This window comes from Homo sapiens, chromosome 5 (assembly GCF_000001405.40).
Source record: "Homo sapiens chromosome 5, GRCh38.p14 Primary Assembly".
NCBI lineage: Eukaryota > Metazoa > Chordata > Mammalia > Primates > Hominidae > Homo > Homo sapiens.
Window position 1 is genome coordinate 77,265,647 of NC_000005.10, and position 23,751 is coordinate 77,289,397.

At 40.0% G+C, this 23,751-nt stretch overlaps 1 protein-coding gene across 27 annotated transcripts in view; it reads left to right on the forward strand.

Moving 5' to 3' along the window:
* PDE8B (phosphodiesterase 8B) overlaps nucleotides 1–23,751 on the forward strand; it is a 341,542-nt gene that overhangs the window by 178,932 nt on the left and 138,859 nt on the right. The window lies entirely within an intron of this gene.

Below are 23,751 nucleotides of genomic sequence, written 5' to 3' on the forward strand. Positions count from 1 at the left end.
AATTGGCCCTACTACATAGTACCTTCCCTCTCTGGGCTCTTGACCATCTGGGGTTATCCTATGTTTGTCATGCTAGGGAAGCGTAAGAATGTTCTTTGGGTATTCTTTCAGAATTAAATAAGAAAAGGCAAAATGTTTGATAAACAGACATTTATTTCAATATTAAATATCCTTCATATAAAATGGGCTGAAGTCTAAATTGCACGTTCTTCAAGTTGTCCTTGATCAAGATGTGTAGATGCAGAATAGTTCCTTCATTTCCACATCTTTTCTAGTGAGCAGGTGAGAGTACTTTCTCTGAAACTGAAGAGAGAAGTGTCCTGATCCTAAAACCTTTCAGAGAGCTGCCTGACTGCGCTGCTCAGGAAAAAAGGGGTGCTCACCCTAGCATGATAGGGATGGCCAAGTGCCTTGGGGCACCCAGCTGTTCAGCGGCATTGTGGTGAAAGGGAAGTACAGTCGATCCTCATTTTTTGCACATTCTGTATTTGAGAATTTACCTACTTGCTAATGTTTGTTTATGTCTAATCCCAACATCAATACTTGCAGGACTTTTGTGGTCATTTGTGGATATGTGAAAGTGGTAAAAAAAATTTGAATCCTCCTATGTGAATGTTCCCAGCTGAGATCGAACAAGGGGATGTTCTGCCTTCCTATTTTAGCTCTAATACTATAAATGTGTCCTTTTCTCACACATGGCTCAGAAATGTGCCAAGTTTTTCACATTTTTTGTGCTCTTCATTGGTGATTTCATGGCTTAAAATGGCCCCCCAGCCATAGTGCTGAAGCGCTGTCTATTCCTAGGGGAAAGAAGGCTGTGATGTGCCTTTTGAAGAAAGCACATGTGTTAGACGAGCTTCATTCAGGCATGAGTCATGGTGCTGTTGTCCATGAGTCCCATGGTGGTTAATCAGCACTATATATATTTAATGTGGCATCTTTAAACAGAAACCAACATAGAGCACAGTTAAGTATTGATCAGTTGAAGAGAATACCTCCTGTGACCAGAGGCTCACAGGAATCTAACCCTGTATTTCTCCTAGGAGCAATGATTCAATATTTATGAATTCAGTGTTTGGGGTGACTTGATAAAACATAACTACCTTGCATAAAGAGAATCAACTGTATGTCTTTTTCTGCTCTTATAATTCTTCATGTTGGTGGGCCCCTGCCTTCAGCCCCAAAGAATGCAGCATGGGGCTTATTATTTCTTGAATCTGTTTTTTTTTTTCTGGAGAATTTCATTCAACAAATTATGAATATTATTAGGTGTTGAACTGAGCTTTTGAAAACTTGTCAGATTCATCTTCAAGATTTTTGTTCCAAACATCCAAATTTATATACTCATTGTGAGTTTTTGGATGTTAACAATAGAATTTGATTCATTCTATATCCTTTGAGCCCACATGATGCATTTCCCTGTGTTAAGGCTTATTTGTTGCTCAGTTGAGTGACTCATTCACCACTTCTTACTTCCTGGAGGTTTAGTACCACTCTTAAAAATAGCAAGAGGCCAGGCATGGTGGCTCACGCCTGTAATCCCAGCACTTTGGGAGGCCAAGGTGGGTGGATCAAGAGGTCAGGAGATCAAGACCATCCTGGCTAAGGCGGGGAAACCCCATCTCTACTAAAAATAAAAAAAAATTAGCCATGTATGGTGGCGGGCACCTGTAATACCAGCTACTAAGGAGGCTGAGGCAGGAGAATTGCTTGAACCTGGGAGGCGGAGGTCGCAGTAAGCCAAGATGGTGCCACTGCACTCCAGCCTGGGTGACAGAGCGAGACTCCATCTCAAAAAAAAAAAAAAAAGGGTGGAAAACATTGCATTGCACAATGGGTTGAAGTGAGAGGTCTGCCTTATTTTGGGGTTTGTAGCTCCCTCCCTGTGCTGGAAGGGGGCTGTTGTGAGTGCCCCACCCTTGCAGATGTCAGCAGGAACCAGTTTCTCTTCCAGAGCTGAAGCTCCAGCGTGCTGCCTGGCTTGAAGCTGCTGCCCTCTGTCCCAACTCTCACCAGCTCTCTTGGGTTGTTCCCTGCTCTTGATCCTAATCAGTGCGTGTTTCTCACAAGCCTCTTCAGTCATCATGTTGACCCAATCCCCAGACAATGGGTAGTAATTAAGTCAACTTTCATAAGGTTATGGTATGCGAAGTGATTACAAGAGATTGCTTACAAGAGCAGTTAGAATAAAGAGTTCAGGTGAGGGCAGTGTCTTTAGTGAGCCAATAAGTTGTCTATAAGTTGATTGGGAAATTGTTTAGTCTGAGATTACAATAAGATGTTTTCTGAAGCACATACCAATGAACAGATTCCTTGAAGAGATTTCCTTACAGAACAGTTTGCATTTTCATGTTGAAAATTAGCTTAGTGATTATCTTCATTTAACAGGTTAAAAAAAAAAAAGAAAACCAAACCTGATGAAAGGGTGACTTGGTATCAGGAATGGGGAGGTGATTTGGTGAAGGGATAGTGACTACCACTGACCACTAAAATAGCTTCATTTGTTTTTGTATTCTCAGTGTCTCATTTCCTCCCATGTTCCTCTTTTTTATTTTATCATTATTTTGTTTTAAATTTTTAATTTTTGTGGGTATATGGTAGGTATATATATATTTATGGAGTACATGAGATATTTTGATACAGGCGTACAATGCATAATAATCACATCGGGGTAAATGGGGGTATCCATCACTTCCTTTATGTCACAAACAACCCAATTATGTTCTTTTAGTTATTTTTAAATGTAAATACACTGTTGTTGACTATAATCACCCTGTTGTGCTATCAAATACTGGAGCTTATTCATTTTATTTTACTATATTTTTGTACTAATTAACCATCCCCAGTTCCTGCCCCACCCCCCCACTACTCTTCCAAGCTTCTGATAACCATCATCCTACTCTCTGTCTCTATGAATTCAATTGATTTAATTTTTAGCTCCCACAAATAAGTGAGAACATGTGATGTTTGTCTTTCAGTGCTTGGCTTATTTCACTTAACATAATGACTTCCAGTTCCATCCATGTTGTTGCAAATGACAGGCTCTCATTCCTTTTTACAGATGAATAGTACTTCATTATGTACTTCAGTAGTATTCCTAACTATCCATCAACAGATGATTGGATAAAGAAAATGTGGTAACTCTCTTCTAACTATCTCCTAACTATCCATCAACAGATGATTGGATAAAGAAATGTGGTAACATTTTCTTTATCCAATCATCTGTTGATGGATAGTTAGGTCATTTCCAAATCTTAGCTCTTGTGAATAGTGCTATAATAAACATGGCAGTGCAGCTATCTTTTCAATATACTGATTTCCTTTCTTTTGGGTATATACCCAGCAGTGGGATTGCTGGATCATATGGTAGCTCTATTTTTAGTTTTTTGAGAAACCTCCAAACTGTCCTTCATAGTGGTTGTACTGTAATAATTTACATTCCCACCAACAGTGTACGAGGGTTCCCTTTCCGCCACATCCTCGCCAGCATTTGTTGTTGCCTGTCTTTTGGATTAAAGCCATTTTAACTGGGGTGAGATGATATCTCATTGTAGTTTTCATTTGCATTTCTCTGGTGATCAATGATGTTGAGCATCTTTTTATATACCTGTTTGCCATTTGTATTTCTTTTTTGAGAACTGTCTATTCAGGTCTTTTGCCCATTTTAAATGGGATTATTAGATTTTTCCTATAGAGTTGTTTGAGCTCCTTATATATTTTGGTTATTACGCTCTTGTCAGATGGTTAGTTTGCAAATATTTTCTCCCATTCCGTGGGTTGTCTCTTCACTTTGTTGATTGTTTCCTTTGCTGTGCAGAAGCTTTTTAACTTGATATGATCCCATTTATCCATTCTTGCTTTGTTGCCTGTGCTTGTGGGGTATTACTCAAGAAATCTTTGCCCAGTCCAATGTTCTGGAGAGTTTCCCCAGTGTTTTCTTTTAACGGTTTCATAGTTTGAGGTCTTAGATTTAAGCCTTTAATCCATTTTGATTTGATTTTTGTATATGGTGAGAGATAGGGTTCTAGTTCCATTCTTCTGTATATGGATATCCAGTTTTCCTAGCACCCATTAAAGAGATTGTCCTTTCTTCAATATATATTCTTGGCACCTTTGTTGAAAATGAGTTTACTGTAGATGTATGGATTTATTTTTGGGTTCTCTATTCTGTTCCATTGCTCTATGTGTCCGTTTTTATGCCAGTACCATGCTGTTTTGGTTACTATAGCTCTGGAGTATGATCTGAAGTCAGGTAATGGGATTCCTCCAGTTTTGTTCTTTTTGTTCAGGATAACTTTGGCTATTCTGGGTCTTTTGTGATTCCACTTAAATTTTAGGATTTTTTTCTCTATTTCTGTGAAGAATGTTGTTGGTATTTTGCTAGGGATTGCATTGAATCTGTAGATTGCTTTGGGTAGTATGGACGTCTTAACAGTATTAATTCTTATAATCCATGGACATGGAATATCTTTTCAATTCTTAGTATCCTCTTCAATTTCTTTCATCAGTGTTTTACAGTTTTAATTGTAGAGATCTTTCACTTATTTTGTTAATTCCTATGTATTTTATTTGTAGCTATTTTAAATGGGATTACTTTTTGATTTTTACACTGTCCACTGTTTGCATACAGAAATGCTACTGATTTTTGTACGTTGATTTTGTATCCTGTAACTTTACTGAATATGTTTATCCATTCTAATAGTTTTTTGGTGAAATCTTTAGGTTTTTCCAAGTATAAGACCATATCATCTGCAAACAAGAATAATTTGACTACTTCCTTTTCAATTTGGATGCCTTTTATTTCTTTCTCTTGTCTGGTTGCTCTAGCTGGTAATTCCCCATATTCCCTCTTACCGTTCACTTCTGCCTCTGCTTTGTGCCCTTAGCACTGGAGCTACATCTTAAGAGGTGGGGTGACATGTTGATGGTATTTGGCTGAGGGACCCTGAAGCTTCTGGATCTTGCTTGTAATTGTCCACTCTGTTCAACAAGATACCTAGGGGGCATGTGTGCACAGAAGATAGTGATTTTTCCGGGCTCTTGTTATTAAACCTTGGCCCCACACTCTTAATATGGAACACTGCTTTGGCAGAAGGAAGAGCTAACCAGAGATACCACTTCCTTCTGGGAAGAAGCAGCAGGGCTGGGAGAATCCTAGCCCAGACTTTCTCTGGAAGCTGCTCCAGCTCCTGACCAGGCTTATCTTACCAGCCGGGTGGGAGTTAGGAGGACTCCGGAGTCACACAGAAAGCCAAAAATCTCCTGAAAACAATACCCTTTCCAGTGTAGATCCTAGGCTCACCCCTCATTGTTCACTCAGGAATTAAGGCAGCTCTGGGGGTAACCCCATTTATGGAATCCATGCAATGATGGCATTGTGGGGGACACTGGCTAAGCTCCCAAGGGGATGTGCTATAACTGCATCGCAGTGGCTAGGCCCCACCCTTCTCATGCCTCTTCCCAGGTCACTATGGTGATGAGTCACTAATATCAAGAAGTAAAGAAGAATGGCAGTTTATAAAAGACCATAAGATCTCCCTATTCCAGGATCAATGGTACATATGGTTCCTTTTCTTTCTTCTTTGTCTTACTTGTCCTTTAAAACCTCCATTTGAGAGCTGCCTCTTCCAGAAAGCCTTCCTTGACCACCTCCAGCTGAAGTCTGGTTTGGAGCTATCTTCTCTGAGCTACTACTTGCCACCCTGGAAGGCTGTGGCTGGTACGTGATCTTGAGAAAGTAGTTCCCTAGCTTTGTGGGAGTGGAATCTAGATGACAAATGGTTAAGGAGTTGGGGATAGGGGTGTAGATGGGACAGCCAAGGCTGATACCTTTCAAATTTCAGGTTGAACTGTGGAATGAAGAAGGTAGTGACTGAAGGTCACTGGGGAAGTTTATTTATTTGTTTTTTGATGTGAAGAACTTTTTTTTAAGGCAGAGAAGAGGAGTATTGGAAACATTAGTAAAATAGGGAATAATCAACAGGTCATGGCCCAGGAGGAGGCCAGAAGAAGTGGAATCAATAACAGATGGAAGGAAGTGAAAGGGAAGACACAGAGGGAGCTCTGGCTGGACATCCCCAAAGTTGTTCAACAATGGGAGCCACTGTTTCTTGAAAGTTGACTAGATGCTGGATAGTCCTTATACATTCTCATCTGATTTCCACAGCAGCCACTTCACATTCTACGGATGAGAAAACCGAGGCTTATAACAGGTTCTTCAGGTGGTACATGTTGGGGAGGGATGTGAATGTAGTCAGTGCAACTTGCAGAATCTGCTCTACCAGAGTCTTACTTCTCAAAGTGTGGTCCTCGGAACAGTACCACCTGGGAGCCCATTAGAAATGTCAACTCTCAGCCACATCCTCAGACCAACTGAAACAGACCTGCGATGTTTACATATGTTTAGGTCTGGAAACCCTGGTCTAAACTTCTGCCCCTTGTTCTCCTTGAAGTGTTAGATGTTGGCTTGGCTCCCTGCTTAGGGTAAGGTTATTGGAGCATGCCGAGGGCAGAGGCTTGAGGGTAGAGGGGAACAGCAAATCATGGGAATGTGATGGAATGTATTAAGAGAGAGCTTCTAGAAGGTTATGATATCTATTAGTTCACAGGTTATGGCTAAACTGGTAATGACTTCATTTAAGTTGATATCATTGTACTTTGCAGAGAGAACAGCCAAGTAACCTTGGTTGACTCTGGTTGTTCTAATATTCTTAGCTATCCATTCTCTTGGGAGGGTCAAACCACAGCTGGCTGATCTGTTATCAAAGGATTTGTGGTGCCTCGAACATGTCCTGTTATTTCACAATCAGTGCCCTTTGTACATATGGTTCCTTTTATTTCTTCTTTGTCTGACTTGTCCTTTAAAACCTCCATTTGAGAGCTGCCTCTTCCAGAAAGCCTTCCTTGACCACCTCCAGCTGCAGTCTGGTTTGGAGCTATCTTCTCTGAGCTACTGCTTGCCACCCTGGAAGGCTGTGGCTGGTATGTGATCTTTAAAGGACTTAGCATGGTACCTGGCACATAGTAAGTGCTCAATAAGCACTAGCTTCTATTATTAGCCCAGAAGTAGGAATAAAAACAGTTAAGAGTAGAACACATGGTTCAGAGGGCAGCATAGTATAAAGGGGGCAAAAATAACCGAAGGTCCTAGCAAGAGCCATATGGAAGTGGTCAACTAGGAGGTTTCTGTGCTGGGAAGGGAGGGTGAGAAGGCAAGAGAGAGGCAGTAGAAAGTTCATTATTTTTTAATGTATTTTTATTGTGTATATTTAAGGAGAGAAAGTGATGTTTTGATATACCTATGCATAGAATGATTTTGAATGGGCCTAATTGCTACGACGTCAGTTACAAGACGGAGGAGAAAGAAGACAAGACATGAATTTAAAGAAACTTGCTTATCCAAATCATTCTTCTTTTAAGAAAGCTTTGTATTCATTATAGCTGATTATAAGAGTTAGGACAAATTTATGATGTGGCAGACTTGTGTTTTAGCTTATTAGTGTGTCTCTGTGCTGCACTGAAGCCCTTGTCATCACTGCAGTGTACGTAGCTCCCATTTATGTACTTTCTATAGAATCTGAAGCCTAATTTTAACATTGTATCGTTTTTTATAGTTATTGACACTTTGCTTCTATCCTATCAATTCTATCTGTAATTTATTTCAAATCAATTTCTTGAACAGGCAGGTAATAGCCTATTATATTATTTTTCCTATGGGAAAATATGATCGTTTATTAATTTGGTTTTTTAAAATTTACTAAACATCTATTACCCAGAAAGCACTATAGAAAATGCTTTTGAGAGATGCAGTTATGAACTAGCAATCGCCCTTGTCCTTCAGGAAGCTGACAGGCTAGGAGGGGAGATATGATAGGTAGAGATGACTTTAAACACAACAATGTGAGATGCTGTAAGAGAGGCAGGGTAGTACACTTACTGAGGAAGAATAACTTGCTTTTGCCTGGGGACAGGAGTACAGGATAAAAGCTTTGAGGCAAAGGCAGTGGTTCAACTTGACCTTGAGATTTTGTCTGGGTTTGACAGGAAGAAATAGGGCAAAAGCCATTTGAGGTGGACAAAATAGTATATAAAAAATAAAGTTTGATTTTTATTAACACAATGGTGAAAAGAGAGAACTTCCAGGTAGTTCCATCTGTTTTTTTTTTATTTATTTTTTATTTTTTATTTTTTTTTGAGATGGAGTTTCATTCTTGTTGCCCAGGCTGGAGTGCAATGGCATGATCTTTGCTCACTGCAACCTCCGCCTCTTGAGTTCAAGCAATTCTCCTGCCTCAGCCTCCCGAGTAGCTAGGATTACAGACATGCGCCACTATGCCCGGCTAATTTTGTATTTTTAGTAGAGACAAAGTTTCTCCATGTTGGTCAGGCTGGTCTCGAACTCCCGACCTCAGGTGATCTGCCTGCCTCGGCCTCCCAACGTGATGGGATTACAGGCGTGAACCATCTTGCCCAGCTAGTTCTATCTTTAGACTAAAATTTAAGTATCTATAAAAAGGAGGAACTGCTGTTTAATGAATGCAAATGTTTAGGTACATATATATTATCTCAATTAATCCTCAAAAAATCCCTATGAGGTAGGGAGGTATTATTATTTGCATTATAGAGGTAAATAAGCTGAGGTTCAGGAAGTTAATCATTTTGCTCAAGGCCACACAGGTCATCTGCGGCAGGGCTGGAAATCCAACACAGATCTATCTGATTCCAAAGCTTTCCACTGCTTCCTGCTGCCTTCCTGCGGACCCATTCATAAGACTGACATATTCATTCATTCCACTGACATATTCATTCATTCCACAAGTAGTTATTGAGCATCTGACATGTCCCAGGTGCTATGCTAGCTCCTGGACATGCAGTGATGGCCAACCTGGCCTAGCTACATGTGGGGGACAAATGGAGGCACAAATAGTACCTTGGTATTCTGAGACCTACAGATTTCCAATTAAGTATAAATTTAGAAGATTAATGTGCTTTATTGATCTCATCAAATAGCCTATTGATAACCCTCCTCAAATAACTAGTAAAGGCACAGTGTTCACTGAGGAAAAACAGATGGGAAAATACAGGATATTTCAATGTCATAGTTGGAAAATTTACAACTTAACTATTTTATTAAAATGTCAGTACTTTGGAATTTTAGCAGTTGTAGACCTGAGAGCCCGAGAGGAGACTGCACCCATGCCATGCAAATTGTCATAAAAGTTTTAGATAAAAGTTCATATATACGTTTCAGAGAGAGAAAAAGAGAAAGAGAAAGAGATTTTGTTGACAGCCAGATGAAATTAAGTGGTCAGAAATTTAATCCACTGGCCCACTAAAAGAAATATTTTCAAGATACTGAGAAATGCAAAAAAAATGTAAAAACCAAGCATAATATCACCACTTTACACCACATAGTATCACACACACACACTAGTTGAGTACAGTGGTGCCCACCTGTAGTCCCAGCTACTTGGGAGGCTGAAGCAGGAGGATCACCTGAGTTCAGGATTTGTGACCAGCCTGGACAAAATAGTGAGACCCCATCTTTTTTTAAAAAAGAAAAAATATATATACTGTATATGTAAAGTCCTTCCCCTTGATCACTACTCCTCCAGCCCCACCCTAGAGGTAACCACTGTTAACAATGTGGAGTTTACCCTTTCTGAATTTGTTACTCATAGTGACAAATCTGTTTAGGTTTGCCCATACAATCTTTCTTTTCTTTCCTTCCCAAAAAGAGGACCACTTAAAAAATTCTTATTTTTCTGCCATTATCCCTTTGGTCTCATTAATTAATTTATTTTTGTCTTTTAAGAGAACAGTTTTAAATTGCTTCTTGTGAGGGTGCAACACACCAGTAGGATTATCAGCAAAGTGTAGACAAGGCTATGAATGTGGATCTGATGCTTGGGAGAAGAGAATTATCTTGTGACTCAACTAAAATACAACCAAAGACTCAAGAAGTTATGGATTTGCTCTTAATTGCTTTAATTGCTGCACAATTCTCCTTAGTTACTCTGTGAACTTGTAAGAATCCACCCACAGTAAAAGTCGAATTTGACAAGTTGTGAGAAATTGTTATGAGGATTACAGTTCTTTGTGTCCCACGTGCAAAGTGCTTCCAAGATATTTCTTTAAATGTTGAATTTCATTTAAATATCTCAAATGAAGAAAAAGATATCTAACCGCATGAGGTTGGAAAGCTTAAAAGTAATTGTTATCCTATCCTACAGACACACCAAAGGGTACTTAAAGATGATATGAAGTGGGATATAAATATCTATACTGTTGTGCTCTGAACTAAAGCAAGTAGTATATATTTGTTATCCTTTATACTGAATTAATTATGTAAAAAATAAAGTTCAAAATATGAGTGTAGTTCCTGTGTGACGAATTGCCTGAATTACTCAAGTGATTGTCTCAAACCTCTATGTCATTTGTTTGTAGAGTTCTTTAGAAGAACTTAGTACAATTATCTGAAAGTGTCTCTAAGGTATGACACTTCTGTGTGCATTATTGTACTCAGCATTTAAAACATGGCATTGCACTGATGTCCTTCCTGTTTCTTAAAATAAGCCAAGTCTTTTCTGGCCTCAGGGCCTTTGCGCCTGCTGTTCCCTCTGCTGGGTTGCTGACGCTCTTCTCTGTATGAGGAGGCAGAATCACTCCTCATCCTTCAGGGCTTGGCTCAGCTCAAAGGCCTCTACCTCAGAGACCCTCCCAGGATCACCTCATCCAGAGTGTCTTCTCCCTCCAATCACTTCCTATTATCTGATTTATTTTCTTCATGCCACTTGTCATAATCTGTCATTCTCATGTTTGTTTGCTTACTTTTTGAGTTAGGCCTCTGCCTTGGCACCCAGTGGAGTCTTCAATAAATACCTGGTGAATGAATAAAGAGCTTTATTAGTTATTCTTTTCCTCATTCGTTCATGCCTTCATTTATCTGTTCAGCATCAGACACAATATTGAGTGTCTAATGTGTCTAACTCACAGTGCTGGACTCAGTAGTAGTGATTGCAGTGGAATTTTCAGGTAATTAATGCTTAGCCCTTCAGATACCAACATTTACTTAAAAGTAAATATTGGCTATAAATAAGTAAAGGATAAAATTGTAAAATACTGGATGAGAGTATTCCTTAAATACATTACAGCACATCTCAGATAGAAGCTCTAGTATTGATATGGTGTGGTCCTCACTGTGAAGTGTCCTTACAGTGAATTTTTAAAATTTACATTTTGGTTTTTCTGTGAGCCCAGAGGGATGCCACTTCCTTTACCGTAACTCTGACTAGTTGCTCCAACAATGGCCCCTTCCTGCCTCTAGACACAGGGGTGCTGGTCACTGATCTCCTGGGTCAAAAGCAGGATAAGACAGTTGCTTTCACGGTGGTTGTTCTCACCATGAACCTTGACATTCCAGTTTTCCCACAGCATGTGAAGGCCTTAAGTTGTTCAGATATAACCTTGATTCTCCAAGGGGTGCTGTGGTAGAACGCAGAAGGAGATTTTTGGAAAATTGCATCTATAGAGTTAAATACTATGAATGTTTCTTATCTTGTCATAAAATCACCTGCATACATTCTTTTTATAAAGCCATCTTTGTAAGATGAGATTTATATTAATGTAATATGTTAGTGCTCAGATGGCCTTTAGCAAAGGATTTTAGGAAACACCTATTATCTATGACTGGGGTTGTCAGAATGCAAAAATTCAAATCATCTTCCACATAGGAAACTCTTTTCTGGGTTCTGTGTTTGTGCTTATTATTTCGGTGTTTCCCTTTTAACTGTTTTCAGAAGGCATCTTCTGACAGTGGCAACATCAAACTGCAAAATATCATAGGCTTATTTGGTGGGGATTTTACTTCTGGATTTGTTCCTCTTGACATGAAAAACATATATTCTCTGCTTCACATCAAAAATGTAGGCTTACTTTTAAGTAGCTATATTTTTAAAATCTGTGTCCTGTTTTTGATCTAGTTTTTATTATATCTTGCATTTTACCTGCCATTTCTCTTCTTTCTCTTTTGTTCATTTTACAGGAAATGGGAGATCAGAGATGCTCAGATTTTTTCAGCGTAGTTTCCCCTAACATCACAGCTCTCTCCTGTCTCTTTTATTCACAGTGAGACACTAAAGACTTCCCAGTGAGCAAATTTTTCACATAGGTGAAACTTACTCCATTAACCGCTAAAACTTTGAAGAATGATTATTTTAATCACTCTGGAAATACATTTCACAGTTCCTTCATTTGCAAAGTAAACTATGCATAAGATGTACATAGAATGTATGCCTATCTTTCACAGAGTCAGAGCCAGCCTAGTGAGCTTTCACTTTTGTCCATGGTTTGGAGGCTGTTGAGCTAATCAGAGCTGTTTTCCTGGGCACCAAATGCTCTTATGTCTTGCCTCTGCCTACCACTCTCAGCTGCCATTTCCTGGGACCATCGCTGGGTCTTTATAATTCTCATGTTTTCCTTATTGTAATGACAGCTGGCCGAGTTCACGTTCAAGTTTACCTCCACCTCTTCTATAGGTAAACGTCTCCCAGCTTCAGTACTCTAGAGCCACTGTCTTGCAGTTCCATGCTCCTGTTAGGTTCTGGTAGGTAGGAACCTGACTTCTGGCTAAAGGGAATAGGGGATGTAATACTAAGTTGTCATTACAAATCCCTTAGGCCTTACTGATAGCCTTGCTCAGGATATCCATTTTAGTTTTTCAACTACTGTGTTCTCATGAGATGGAAATCATAAAGCCAAGTGTCTTTGAAGAATTGTACTTGAGATTCAGAACAAGACTCCATGTTATTTTTTAAAGAGAGATACTTCTTTTCTTTTTTTTGAGACGGAGTCTCACTCTGTCGCCCTGGCTGGAGTGCAGTGGCGCGATCTTGTCTCATTGCAAGCTCTGCCTCCCGGGTTCATGCCATTCTCCTGTCTCAGCCTCCCGAGTAGCTGGGACTACAGGCACCTGCCACCACGCCCGGCTAATTTTTTGTGTTTTTAGTAGAGACGGGGTTTCACTGTGTTAGCCAGGATGGTCTCGATCTCCTGACCTCGTGATTCCCAAAGTGCTGGGATTACAGGCATGACCCACCGCGCCAGGCCCAAAGAGAGATACCTTTTTTCAAGTTTTTGAGTGGCTAGTTTTGCATATTAATGCTAACACTGAAAATAGTACAACATCAATTTTTTACGCTTTTTATCTTTTTCTTGACAAATACTAGTTTAAGTTGCTATTTCAAACTAGTTCATTCAGGGTATGAAATATACAATGGGGAAACTTTGAGACTCATGTTACTTCCTGTTGTTAGAGTGCTTGATTTAGTGCTTTAATTACTATACACTACTGAAACAAAGTGAATATACACCACCTTAGGAAATCACTTGTTATTTTCTTGAACTGTTTTGTTTCATCTACAATTACATCTTTATATCACATTTCACAAAATACTGGTGATTATGTGGTGTTCTAATGAGTGTGTATAGATAATAAAACTAAGAAAATGGAGTTTAGATTTAGTGGGGCTACCACCTAAAAATTAAACTTGCTTAGTTCCAAATTTCCAATTCTTTGATGATTTGTATTGTAAACAGGATAGTTTTTTTATTACATTTACAGAACATGGGCATGACTTGAACAAAAGTTGCTATTCTTAAGTAAATTACTTTTATTTTATGCTGTATCTTGCCTTCTTGATGTTCTAGATGGTATGTCCTTTTAGTCCCACTAGAGTCTATAATGCTACTGTAGTTCCCAGCTTCCAGTTGTCATCTGTGTGGTGATGCCATAAGCATTGGAAAGTGCACTGTCCTTATAGCCAGAAAGCACTGGTTCCTTCACCCTTTAGCTGTGGCTCTCCTCCCCGTCAATCCTCTTTTTTTAAAAGCCAACGCTTATTGAGGACTTCAGGTTATATGCTGTGTGTCACGTGTTTTCTAGATGTTCCTTCTTTTAATTATCACAAGAAGCCTATGATGCAGGTATTAGTATCCACATTTTACAAATATGCAGACTCAGGCCCAGAGAGGTTGAATAACTCCAAGGTTATCCAGCTGGTTAGTGACAAAGGTGGGGTCTGAATACAGGTCTTACTTCCAAAGTCTGCACTTGAATTACCTCCTGTACCACCTGTGCTACCTCTGTGCCTCTCTGAACCAACTTTGGGTTTTCTGGAAGTGAGAGTGACAATCTCAGTCTCATGGGGTTGTCCAGGGGCACAAGTGAGGCGAGGGAGGCAGAGCATCCTTGTCTTATGCTGCACTTGAGCAATATAGGTAGTCCAGCCTAGACAGTCATCTTCTTTTCATTGCATGCCTTTCCCTATTTCTGGATTATAGATAGCAGTGTCTCCCACCTGGGCCAGCTTTATCCTGACGCCCAGCATACACCCCACCTCTGGGTTGGTGTGCATTGAGGAAGTGCAAATAAAGTGGAATATGCCTCATTAAGCAGGAAAGTAGTCATGAGGAAAGGCATGCACTTGAGAGCCGTACCTGGGCTCTTTATCTTCTGACAGATAGGATCATTCCCAAGGTCATGAGAGTGCAGGGGATTGGGTGCCAACCAGGACACTGAAGAGCTCCCGGAGCCTGTGCATGGTGTCTAGCCCTTCTGTCTTCAGGCAGTCACGTGCAAGCCCTCCCCTGGAAGGATTGTCAGACCACACCTGTGCCACTGCTGCTGTCTCCTCCCTGTCCTCCTGCAGGAGGGTGTGTGTGTGTGTTTTAAATTTCCAATTTACTATGGACCAAGACCCTTGAAAAATACAATGAAAACAAATTTCTGGAAAAATAGTTTTTAAAAAGGCATTCAAAATGTAAGCATAGTATTTTATTAGAAGATTCAACAGCAAGAAAATAACATTGCAAAAATGACCTGGCAATGCCAAATTGCTGGAAGTTTCTAAGCACTTATTGTCAGTTTTTTTCCTAATCTCTTTACTGTTGGGTAGCAGTTCACAGACTGGCCAGGCGCGGTGGCTCACGCCTGTAATCCCAGCACTTTGGGAGTCCAAGGCGGGTGGATCACAAGGTCAGGAATTTGAGACCAGCCTGACCAACATGGTGAAACCCCGTCTCTACTGAAAATACAAAAAAAATTAGCTGGGTGTGGTGGCACATGCCTGTAATCCCAGCTACTCAGGAGGCTGAGGCAGGAGAATCGCTTGAACCGGGGAGGTGGAGGTTGCAGTGAGCTAAGATCGCGCCACTGCACTCCAGCCTGGGTGACAGAGAGAGACTCTGTCTCAAAAACAAACAAACAAACAAAGAAACAAAAAACAGTTCACAGACCACCACCAGTGCACAGACTGCCGGCCCAGAGCCTACCCTGACTGAGGTGGGCACTTCATATGTGAATGCAGGTCCACCTGCCGAGGGGCTGGAGGTGTGCTTGCTGCTGTAAACTTGCTCTGTGGAATGCATGCGCAAGCCCCAGGCCACAGTGCCCGTGGAAGCGCCACTTCCCTGCTGCCCTTCATGACACCACTGCCCTTGTGACTTGGCCTCTACCTCAGCTCCAGTTTCATTCTGTTTGCCTGGTGCTGGAGCTCATTCCTGAACCTAACTGGTTTAGTGGCTGTGGTACTGAGAGGGTCTTCCAGCGTCCCTCCCCGAGGCCTAGATTCTGTTGTCTGGATGCCTAGCTGTTGGCCAGGATTCTAATCCAATGTTTTAGTTTCCTCTTGTTGCTGCAACAAATTGCCGCAAATTTAATGACTTAAAACAACAAAACATTATTCTCTTGTAGCTCTGGAGGCCAGAAATTCAAAATGAATCTTATGGGATAAAACCAAGGTGTTGGCAGGGCTGACTCCTTCTGGAGGCTCTAGGGCAGAAATCACTCTTGCCTCTTCCCAGCTTCTGGTGGCTGCCAGCATTCTGTAGCCTACGGCCACCTTATCCCAGTCTCTGCCTCCATGGTCACATTGCCTTTTCCTCTTCTGTTGCCAAATCTCCATTCGCCTCCCTCTTATGAGAACACTTTTGATTAGAGGTAGGCCCCCCACCCCAGTAATCCAAAATGATCTTTCCACCTTAAGGTTCTTAACACAATCACACTTGCAAAGTCCTTTTTGCCCTGCAAGGTGGCATTCATAAGTTCCAGGGATCAGGACCTGGATCTCTTTGGAGGGTATTATTCAGCCTACCACGACAATGCTTGGGAATTTGTGTCATTATCACTTCACCCCCTGTAAATTTTGCTTCTACTGTGCGCTACTCCAACCCCTACCCCACCTCAACTGGACTACCTGGTATATGGGATCATTTGTGGGAGCGATCTGAGGTTTTCAGAGTCTGGGGGTGTTGGTGGCAGCTAATACTTAGTAATGTGTGTTTCAGATTCTCTGCTAAGGACTTTATATACTATCCCATTTAACAGTCACGTCAACCCAAGAGGTACTGTGGCCTGGGGAAGCCACATGCAATCCTGTTCAGCCTGACTTCAGAGCCAGAGTCCTTACCTGCTAACTGCCCCGTGGACAGAGGCAGACCCTGTGATTTGGGCTTAATTTAAGCACGTCTCTTCCCCACAGGGAGCAGCCACATGGCAGTCCTAGTGCTCCAGCCTGGCCCTGTGGTCCCAGCTTCTTTTCTTTCCCAGATAGCCTGCAGGATGCACCTTCCCAAGAGTGGACAGCCAGGATGAGCTTATTCAGCTCTCTCCCAGCAGGATAAGTGCAGCTCAGGAACCCAAGCAGAGGACTGTGTGAATAACCCTGAGTTTCCAGGCAATCTGGCTCTCAGCCCCCACACTGCGCTGCCCCTTGGACAGTCAGGGAGTTGGCAGTCAGCAGACGCTGGCTGAGTTTGGATTTGTTTGCTGATCCTGTCATGATATGTCATTAAACATTCCTGGCTGGAAGTCAGACATGAGAGTGCTGGAGGGTGTTCTCACACCCCTGTGCTGTGGGGAGGCCTTCCCTTCTTTCTGGCTGCCCTGGTACCCTCTAGAGCCTCCTATCTGCTGCTCGGAGGCAGTGCCTGCAGCGGCTGGACTCCTGCAGCAGCTGGAGGTGGAGGAAAGATTCTTAGGCCGTGAGTCCTCTTCTTCCGACAGCGAATTTGAGCCCTGGTGGAGCAATGTCCGGCACGCTCAGGAAAGTGTGAAATCTAGAACTCTCTGTAGTGGCCTGAGGCAATAGTCAGACATGGCTGGTAGAGCTGTGCTGCCTCAGAAGTCATCCTGGATAAGCTGCTCTGGATCCCCATCGTGGAAGCATAAAATGTCAAGCAGAAGGATGTTATGAGAATTGGAACCTAAGCCCTGTGCTGACCTCGGGGAGCACTCCCTGGGGCTACCTTTGCTGGGAGGTGCCTGGCCCAGACCTGTCCAACCTGGGCCTGCAGCCAGGAACATTCTCCCAGAGTAGCAATCTTATTAAATTCCCTGTAATATACATGTTTTAATAATAAAAGTATGGATATATTATTGATGAGGATACAAATAGCTTTACGTCTTTTACATTATGTAAGTAAGCACTGAAGTTATTTCTTTTTTAAAAAAATAGACTTAATTTTTTTACAGCATTTTTAGATTCACAGCAGAATTTTGCAGAAAGTAGAGTTCTCATATATTCGAAACCCTGCACCACCCCCCACTCCCTGGAGCCATATGCACAGCCTCTTCCACTGTCAACATCCCCCACCAGAGTGGTACATTTGTTACAATTGATGAGCCAACACTGACAACAACATAATCATCCAGAGTCCATAGTTTACATTAGGGTTCACTCTTGATGTTGTACCTTCTGGGGAGTTTGACAGGTATACACCACTGTAGTATCATCCAGAAAAGTTTCACTGCCCTAAAAATCCTCTGTGCCCCACCTATTCATCTCTCCCTTCCCACTAATTCCTGACAACCACTGATCTTTTTAATATCTCTACAGTTTTGCCTTTTCCAGAATGTTATATGGTTGGAATCATACAGTATATGGCCTTTTCGGATTGACTTGACTCCTTTCACTTAGTAATATGCGTTTAAGGTTCCTCCATGTCTTTTCATGGGTTGACAAACTATTTCTTTTTAGTGCTGAGTAATATTCCATCATTAGAATGTACCACAGTTTATTTATCCAGCCACCTACTGAAAGACAGCTTAGTTTCTCCAAGTTTGGGCAATTATGAATAAAGCTGCTGTAAACATCTGTGTGCACGTTTTGTGTAGACATAAATTTTCAGGTTATCTGAGTAAATATCAAGGAATGCAATTTGCTGGATTATATGGAAAGAGTATGTTTAGTTTTGTAGGAAACCAAGTCTTCCAAAGTGACTCTACCATTTTGCATTTTCACTGACAATGAATTAGAGTTCCTGATGCTCCATGTCCTTCCCAGCATTTAGTGGTGTCAGTGCTTGCAATTTTTCCATTATAATAGGTGTATACTGGTATTTCATTGTTGTTTTAATTTGCATTTCCCTAATGATATGATGCAGAGCATCTTTTCACATGCTTATTTGACATCTGTGTATCTTCTTTGGTGAGGTGTCTTTTCAGATTTTACCCATTTATTAATAGGTTGTTCATTTTCTTATGGTTGAGTTTTAAGAGTTCTTTGTGAATTTTGGTTAACAGTCATTTATCAAAATAATTTTCCAAATATTTTCTTCCTGTCTGTGATGTCTTCCCATTCTCTTGACAGTATCTTTTGCAGAGCAGAAATTTTTAACTTTGAATTAAGTCTAACTTATCAATTACTTCTTTCATGGTCATGCCTTTGGTGTCATACCTAAAAAGTCATTGCCAAACTCAAGATTGTTTAGATTTCCCCTATGCTATCTTCTAGGAGTTTTATAGTTTTGCATATTACATTTAGGTTAGATTTCCTTTTTATAAACTTTTTGATTGAAGAATAATATGCAAACAAAAGTTTAAAAGTCATAAGTATACAAGTTGATGAATTATCACAAAGTGAACACATTCATAACTATCACACAGGTTAAGCAATAGAACCAGTACTTCAGAAGCCTCTCTTGTCCCCTTTCTCAATCATAGCTCCCTCCCTTTCTATTCACACTTTTAAAACCATAGGGTAATGTTGCCTGTTTTTGAACGTTAAGTAAAATGAAGTAATATAGCATATACTATTTTATGTCTGGCTTCTTTTGCTTAATGTTACATTTCAGAAATAATCCATCTTATTGGGTGTTGCAGTGTTTAATACATTTTCATTGCCATGTAGTCTTCCATTATGTGATTACATCACAATTCAATGTTAATGGACATTTGAGATGTTTCCATTTGGAGCTGTCATGAATAATGCTGCTGTAAACATTCTTGGACATATCTTTTGGTGCTCACTGGGCACATTCCTATTGGGTATTTACCTAAGATAGATAGTGAGTGTCACTATATTTCCAGTTTGTGCCCCACTGTCCCAGCTTATGCCTAGACGTCCAGAGTAATAATTTTCCTCCCTTTCATTTTCAGAAGTGTCCCAGTTTGGCTAATAAATGAATTATGTCTTTTGATGAATAGAAATGTAATGTAGTCCAAGAAATCTTTTCCTACCCCGAAGTCATGAAGACAGATGCCTGTATAATCTTTTAGAAGTCTTATTGTTTTAGTTTTTACAGTATTTTATGTTCACCTAGATAAAATAACCTTTTATATTTACCACTTGTATGCTCTTTATTCACTCCTCAACAGTCAGGTTTCCTTCTGGTATCATTTCCTTTAATCTGAAATAATTATTGTCATATTTCTTATAACGAAGATCTGTGGGCAATGAACTGTCCTTAGTTTTACTTTGTCCAGAAATGTCTTAACTTGAAAGCTGTTGTTCCTGTTTTCTGTTTCCGTAGTTTCTCATGAAAATTTACCAGTCATCTGAATCATTGTCCCACTGTGTGTATTGTGTAGTTTTTCTCGGGCCGCTTTTGTCTTTGGCTTTCAGCAGATTAATTACAATGTGCCTAAACATAGTTTTCTTTGTATTTTTCCTGTCTGTCATTTGTTGACTCCTTAAATCTGTAAATATATGCCATTCAGCAAATTTGGAAAATTTCCCATCTATTTTTTTCCCAAATGCTTTTATCTCCTCTCACTTTTCTCCACCTGGGACTTCAATTACTAATGTTAGGCATTTTGATACTGCCCACAGATCCCTAGGTCTCTGTTTATTTTTTTCAATCTTTTTCTCTGTTCTTCAGATTGGACAATTTGTATTGATGTATTCATGTTCAGAGACTTTTTCCTCCCTAATCTCTAGTCTGTTATTAATCCCATACAGTGAATATTTATTTCCAATATTGTATTTTTTCAGTTCTAAAATTCTCATTTGTTCTTACGTTTTCTATTTTTGGCTGAGAGTTCTTCTTTATTTGTTATGAGTTTTTTCTTTATTTTTCTGCACTGAGGTTAATCATAATAGTGATATTAAAGTCTTTGGGAATTCCAACATCTGGGTCATCTCAGGGTTGCCATTATGTTTCTTAGGTGATGTGATTTGGGATTGTATCATGGGCATTGTGAATGATATGTTGTGGAGGCTCTTTATTGTTTCATTTTAGCAGGCGATTAGCTTGATTACACTCACAGTGTAAACATGATGTCACCTGAGGTGGGTGGCAGCTCAAATCTCAGTTCAGAGATTTTTAAATTTTTAGTTGGACTCCTTAAAATCTTCCCTGTGCATGAACAGTTCCAGGATCAGCCAGAGATGTGAGCAGAGTTTGTACACAAAATTTAGGTTCCCTCCTCATTCTCTAGTAACTCTGGTTGCCCCAGGCTCCATCTTCTGGTTCCTTAGGCAAGATTGATGGTAGGTTCTCCATCACAGTTGGACCGTCCCATGCCGTGGTGTGACTGTGGCCTGCCCTCATGGCAAAACTGAAAAACTAGGTAACTCACCAGATGCTAGATTCCTTCTCCAGATCTTTCTCCAAATCTGCCTGCTTTTGTTCACGCTCCAGAGCCCTTAGGTTGTCATTTTTTGTGTGTTTTGTTAAAGTGTGTTGTTGTTATCAGTGAGAGGGTTGGTGGTTATAGGAATTTACTCGTTCTTACTGGAAGAGGACCCCAGTTCATTGACATTAAATATAATTAGTCATGTATTTGCATTTAATGCTGCTATCTTACTATTTATATTATACCCACCTATTCTATTCAGAATGTTTTTCTTATCTTGATTTCTATCCATTTAAATATTTTCCATTTCCTCCCCTTTTAGCTTATTAGTTAACTCCCTGTTTATACCCTTTTTGTAATTAGTAGAAATTACAAAATTACTTTTACCTTGTTAACCCAATGTTAATATCTCTACCCTTCTTTAACACAGTAGAAGGAATGTAGAATACTTAAATTCCAGTTATTTCCCTCCGGATTCCATGCTCCTGTTGTCGTGCATTTTAATTCTATGTATTTTTAAATCCCAGAAGAAATTACTGTCATTTTCTACACTCAATATTCATTTAGATTTACACACAAATTTACCTTTTCTAAATGACATTATTTTCTCCATCTGTGAGCTTCCATCTGAGATCATTTGCCTTCTTTCTAAAGACCACCCTTTATTATTATTTTTTTTAGTGCAATAGTTCTAGTAACAAATTCTCTGTTTTTGTTTGTCTGGAAATTCTTTTATTATTATTATTATTATTGAAGTATATTTTTACTAAGTATAGAGTTCCAGGTTGCCACGTATTTTATTTCAGCATTTTGAAGATATCATTTCATTGTGTCCCACCTCCCATTATTTCTGTTTTTCCTTGGCTATTTTTAAACGTTTTTCACCTATATTTTGCTTTTACCAGTTCTTCTTTAATGCACTTAGGTATTTTTTTTTCTTCATATTTTTTTTTCTCTTTAGGGCCTACAGTGCTTCTTGACTTTGCAGCTTGATTTGTTTCTTCAATATTGGAATATTCTCCACCATTTTCTCTTCAAATATTGTTCCTGACGCGTTCTCTCTAATCCTACTGAGAGTGAAATTACATGTATGTGACACCTTTTCTCTGTGTCCTGGATGCCTCTCACATTCTTCTTATATTTGCCATCCTTTTGTCTCCCTGCACCTTAGTCTGGATCTTTTTCTTTTTTTCTGACATATATTCCAGTTCCCCAGTTCTCTGTTCACTGTGTCTAATATCCATATAAACCCATCCATCTGGTAACTGATTTTAACAATGGTAGTTTTATGACTAAAATTTCCACTTGATTTTTAAAATGTTTTCTAGTTCTTTGTCAAAATGTTGTTTCTTGTCTTTTAATTCTTTGAACATATTTTCAAGTCTGTGTGTGTAACCCTAGTATCTGGATCTTCCACGTGTCTGTTTAATGTTTTTTCCCTCTCTTGGCTTTTGGTCAACCTTTTTTTCCCTTATAACTGCTTATTTCTTCTGAGCATTGGATTTTAAATTTAGAGATAATTTGATGCTCTGAATGATGGCATATTCCCGCAGACAGAATTTAGTTTTCCTTCTAGTTGGCAGCTGGGAAGGGGACAGGCGATAATAACTCAGTGACTGAGATGAGTCAAAGAACCATTTCGTCCTATGTGAAGGCTGGCCTATCTCCAGGTCAATTCTGTTCCTAGATTGCAGCTCATTGGGGTCCCCATTGAAAACCTAACATGTTTGCCAAGGTCCTCACTCTCTGATGGGCCCTGAACTCCAGTTTTATCCTTCCATTTCTGTGTGGTGGATGGAAGCTCTGCTCAGCTTCTCGGCTTCTGGAATTGTCAGTGGCCTTCAGGGGATATGGACACCAAAAGCCACATTTTCCTTCTTGCCTTCCTTTCTCTCGCAGATCTTGGTCTGACAAAGTCTCACTGCACTGGTATCTATCTGATACTTTCAAATAGATTTTTAAAACTTCTTTCCAATTTCTCTAGTTATTCTTATTGGAGAGTCGGCCCAAGAAAAGTAAGGTTCAGAGAGAATAAATAAATTGTCCAGGGTCATACAGACCCTGAAAGTAGAATCTCTATGAAATCTATTTAAATAGGTGGCACAAGACCAGAGAAATCTGAGACTTACAGCAGCCTGCATGCCCAGCCTTCACCATCCTTTGTCATTTGGGTATTAAGTTTGACAGTTGCTATGTTTAACTCTCTTGTTTTACAAAACTGATATCCATAGAGATGGTGTGATTTGTCCATGACCACACAGCGAGGTAATATGTGAGTTGGGGTAAAATCTAGGTCTGTGCTCCTCGGTTTTTTCCTGTTAAATCTTGCTGCCCCCATCTTTTTTTTTTTTTTTTTTTTTATTGTTACTTAGGTACCCAGACCTACATCCCAGCTTTAGTAAGACATCTCAGTGCTCAGTGGTCCAAGAAGATTCTTCTCATTTGTAGAAAATTGTCCTTGATTTATGCAGCCACAACCACATATGAGTGTCACCTGTTACCTTCTTTTTTCCCCTCTTTCTTCGCTTCTCTTTTTATCTCTGAATTTTTACATTGCCACTGACATCTTGCCTGTGGCTAATAGACACGTCCACACTGAGAGACATGCTCTAGTAGAGTGGGTTCAGGACTGCATAATTAGTTTGTCCTCTTTTATGCCTGGGAATATTATATCAGATTCTCTAAAAGGTTTTGAAACGTAAGGTGAAAAGGGAAATGATAAAATAAGGCATTTGAGATTTTTAAACTCATGATCAGCTGCTTCCCTTGAAAATAATTCATAATCTCTTCCAGAATTGCTTGTAAAGGCTTTTAACTTTTGTGGTTTATCTGCTGTTCTCTTAAGCACATGGTATATATTTATAGGTTCTTACCTTAAATTTTAGGCAGAATCATGA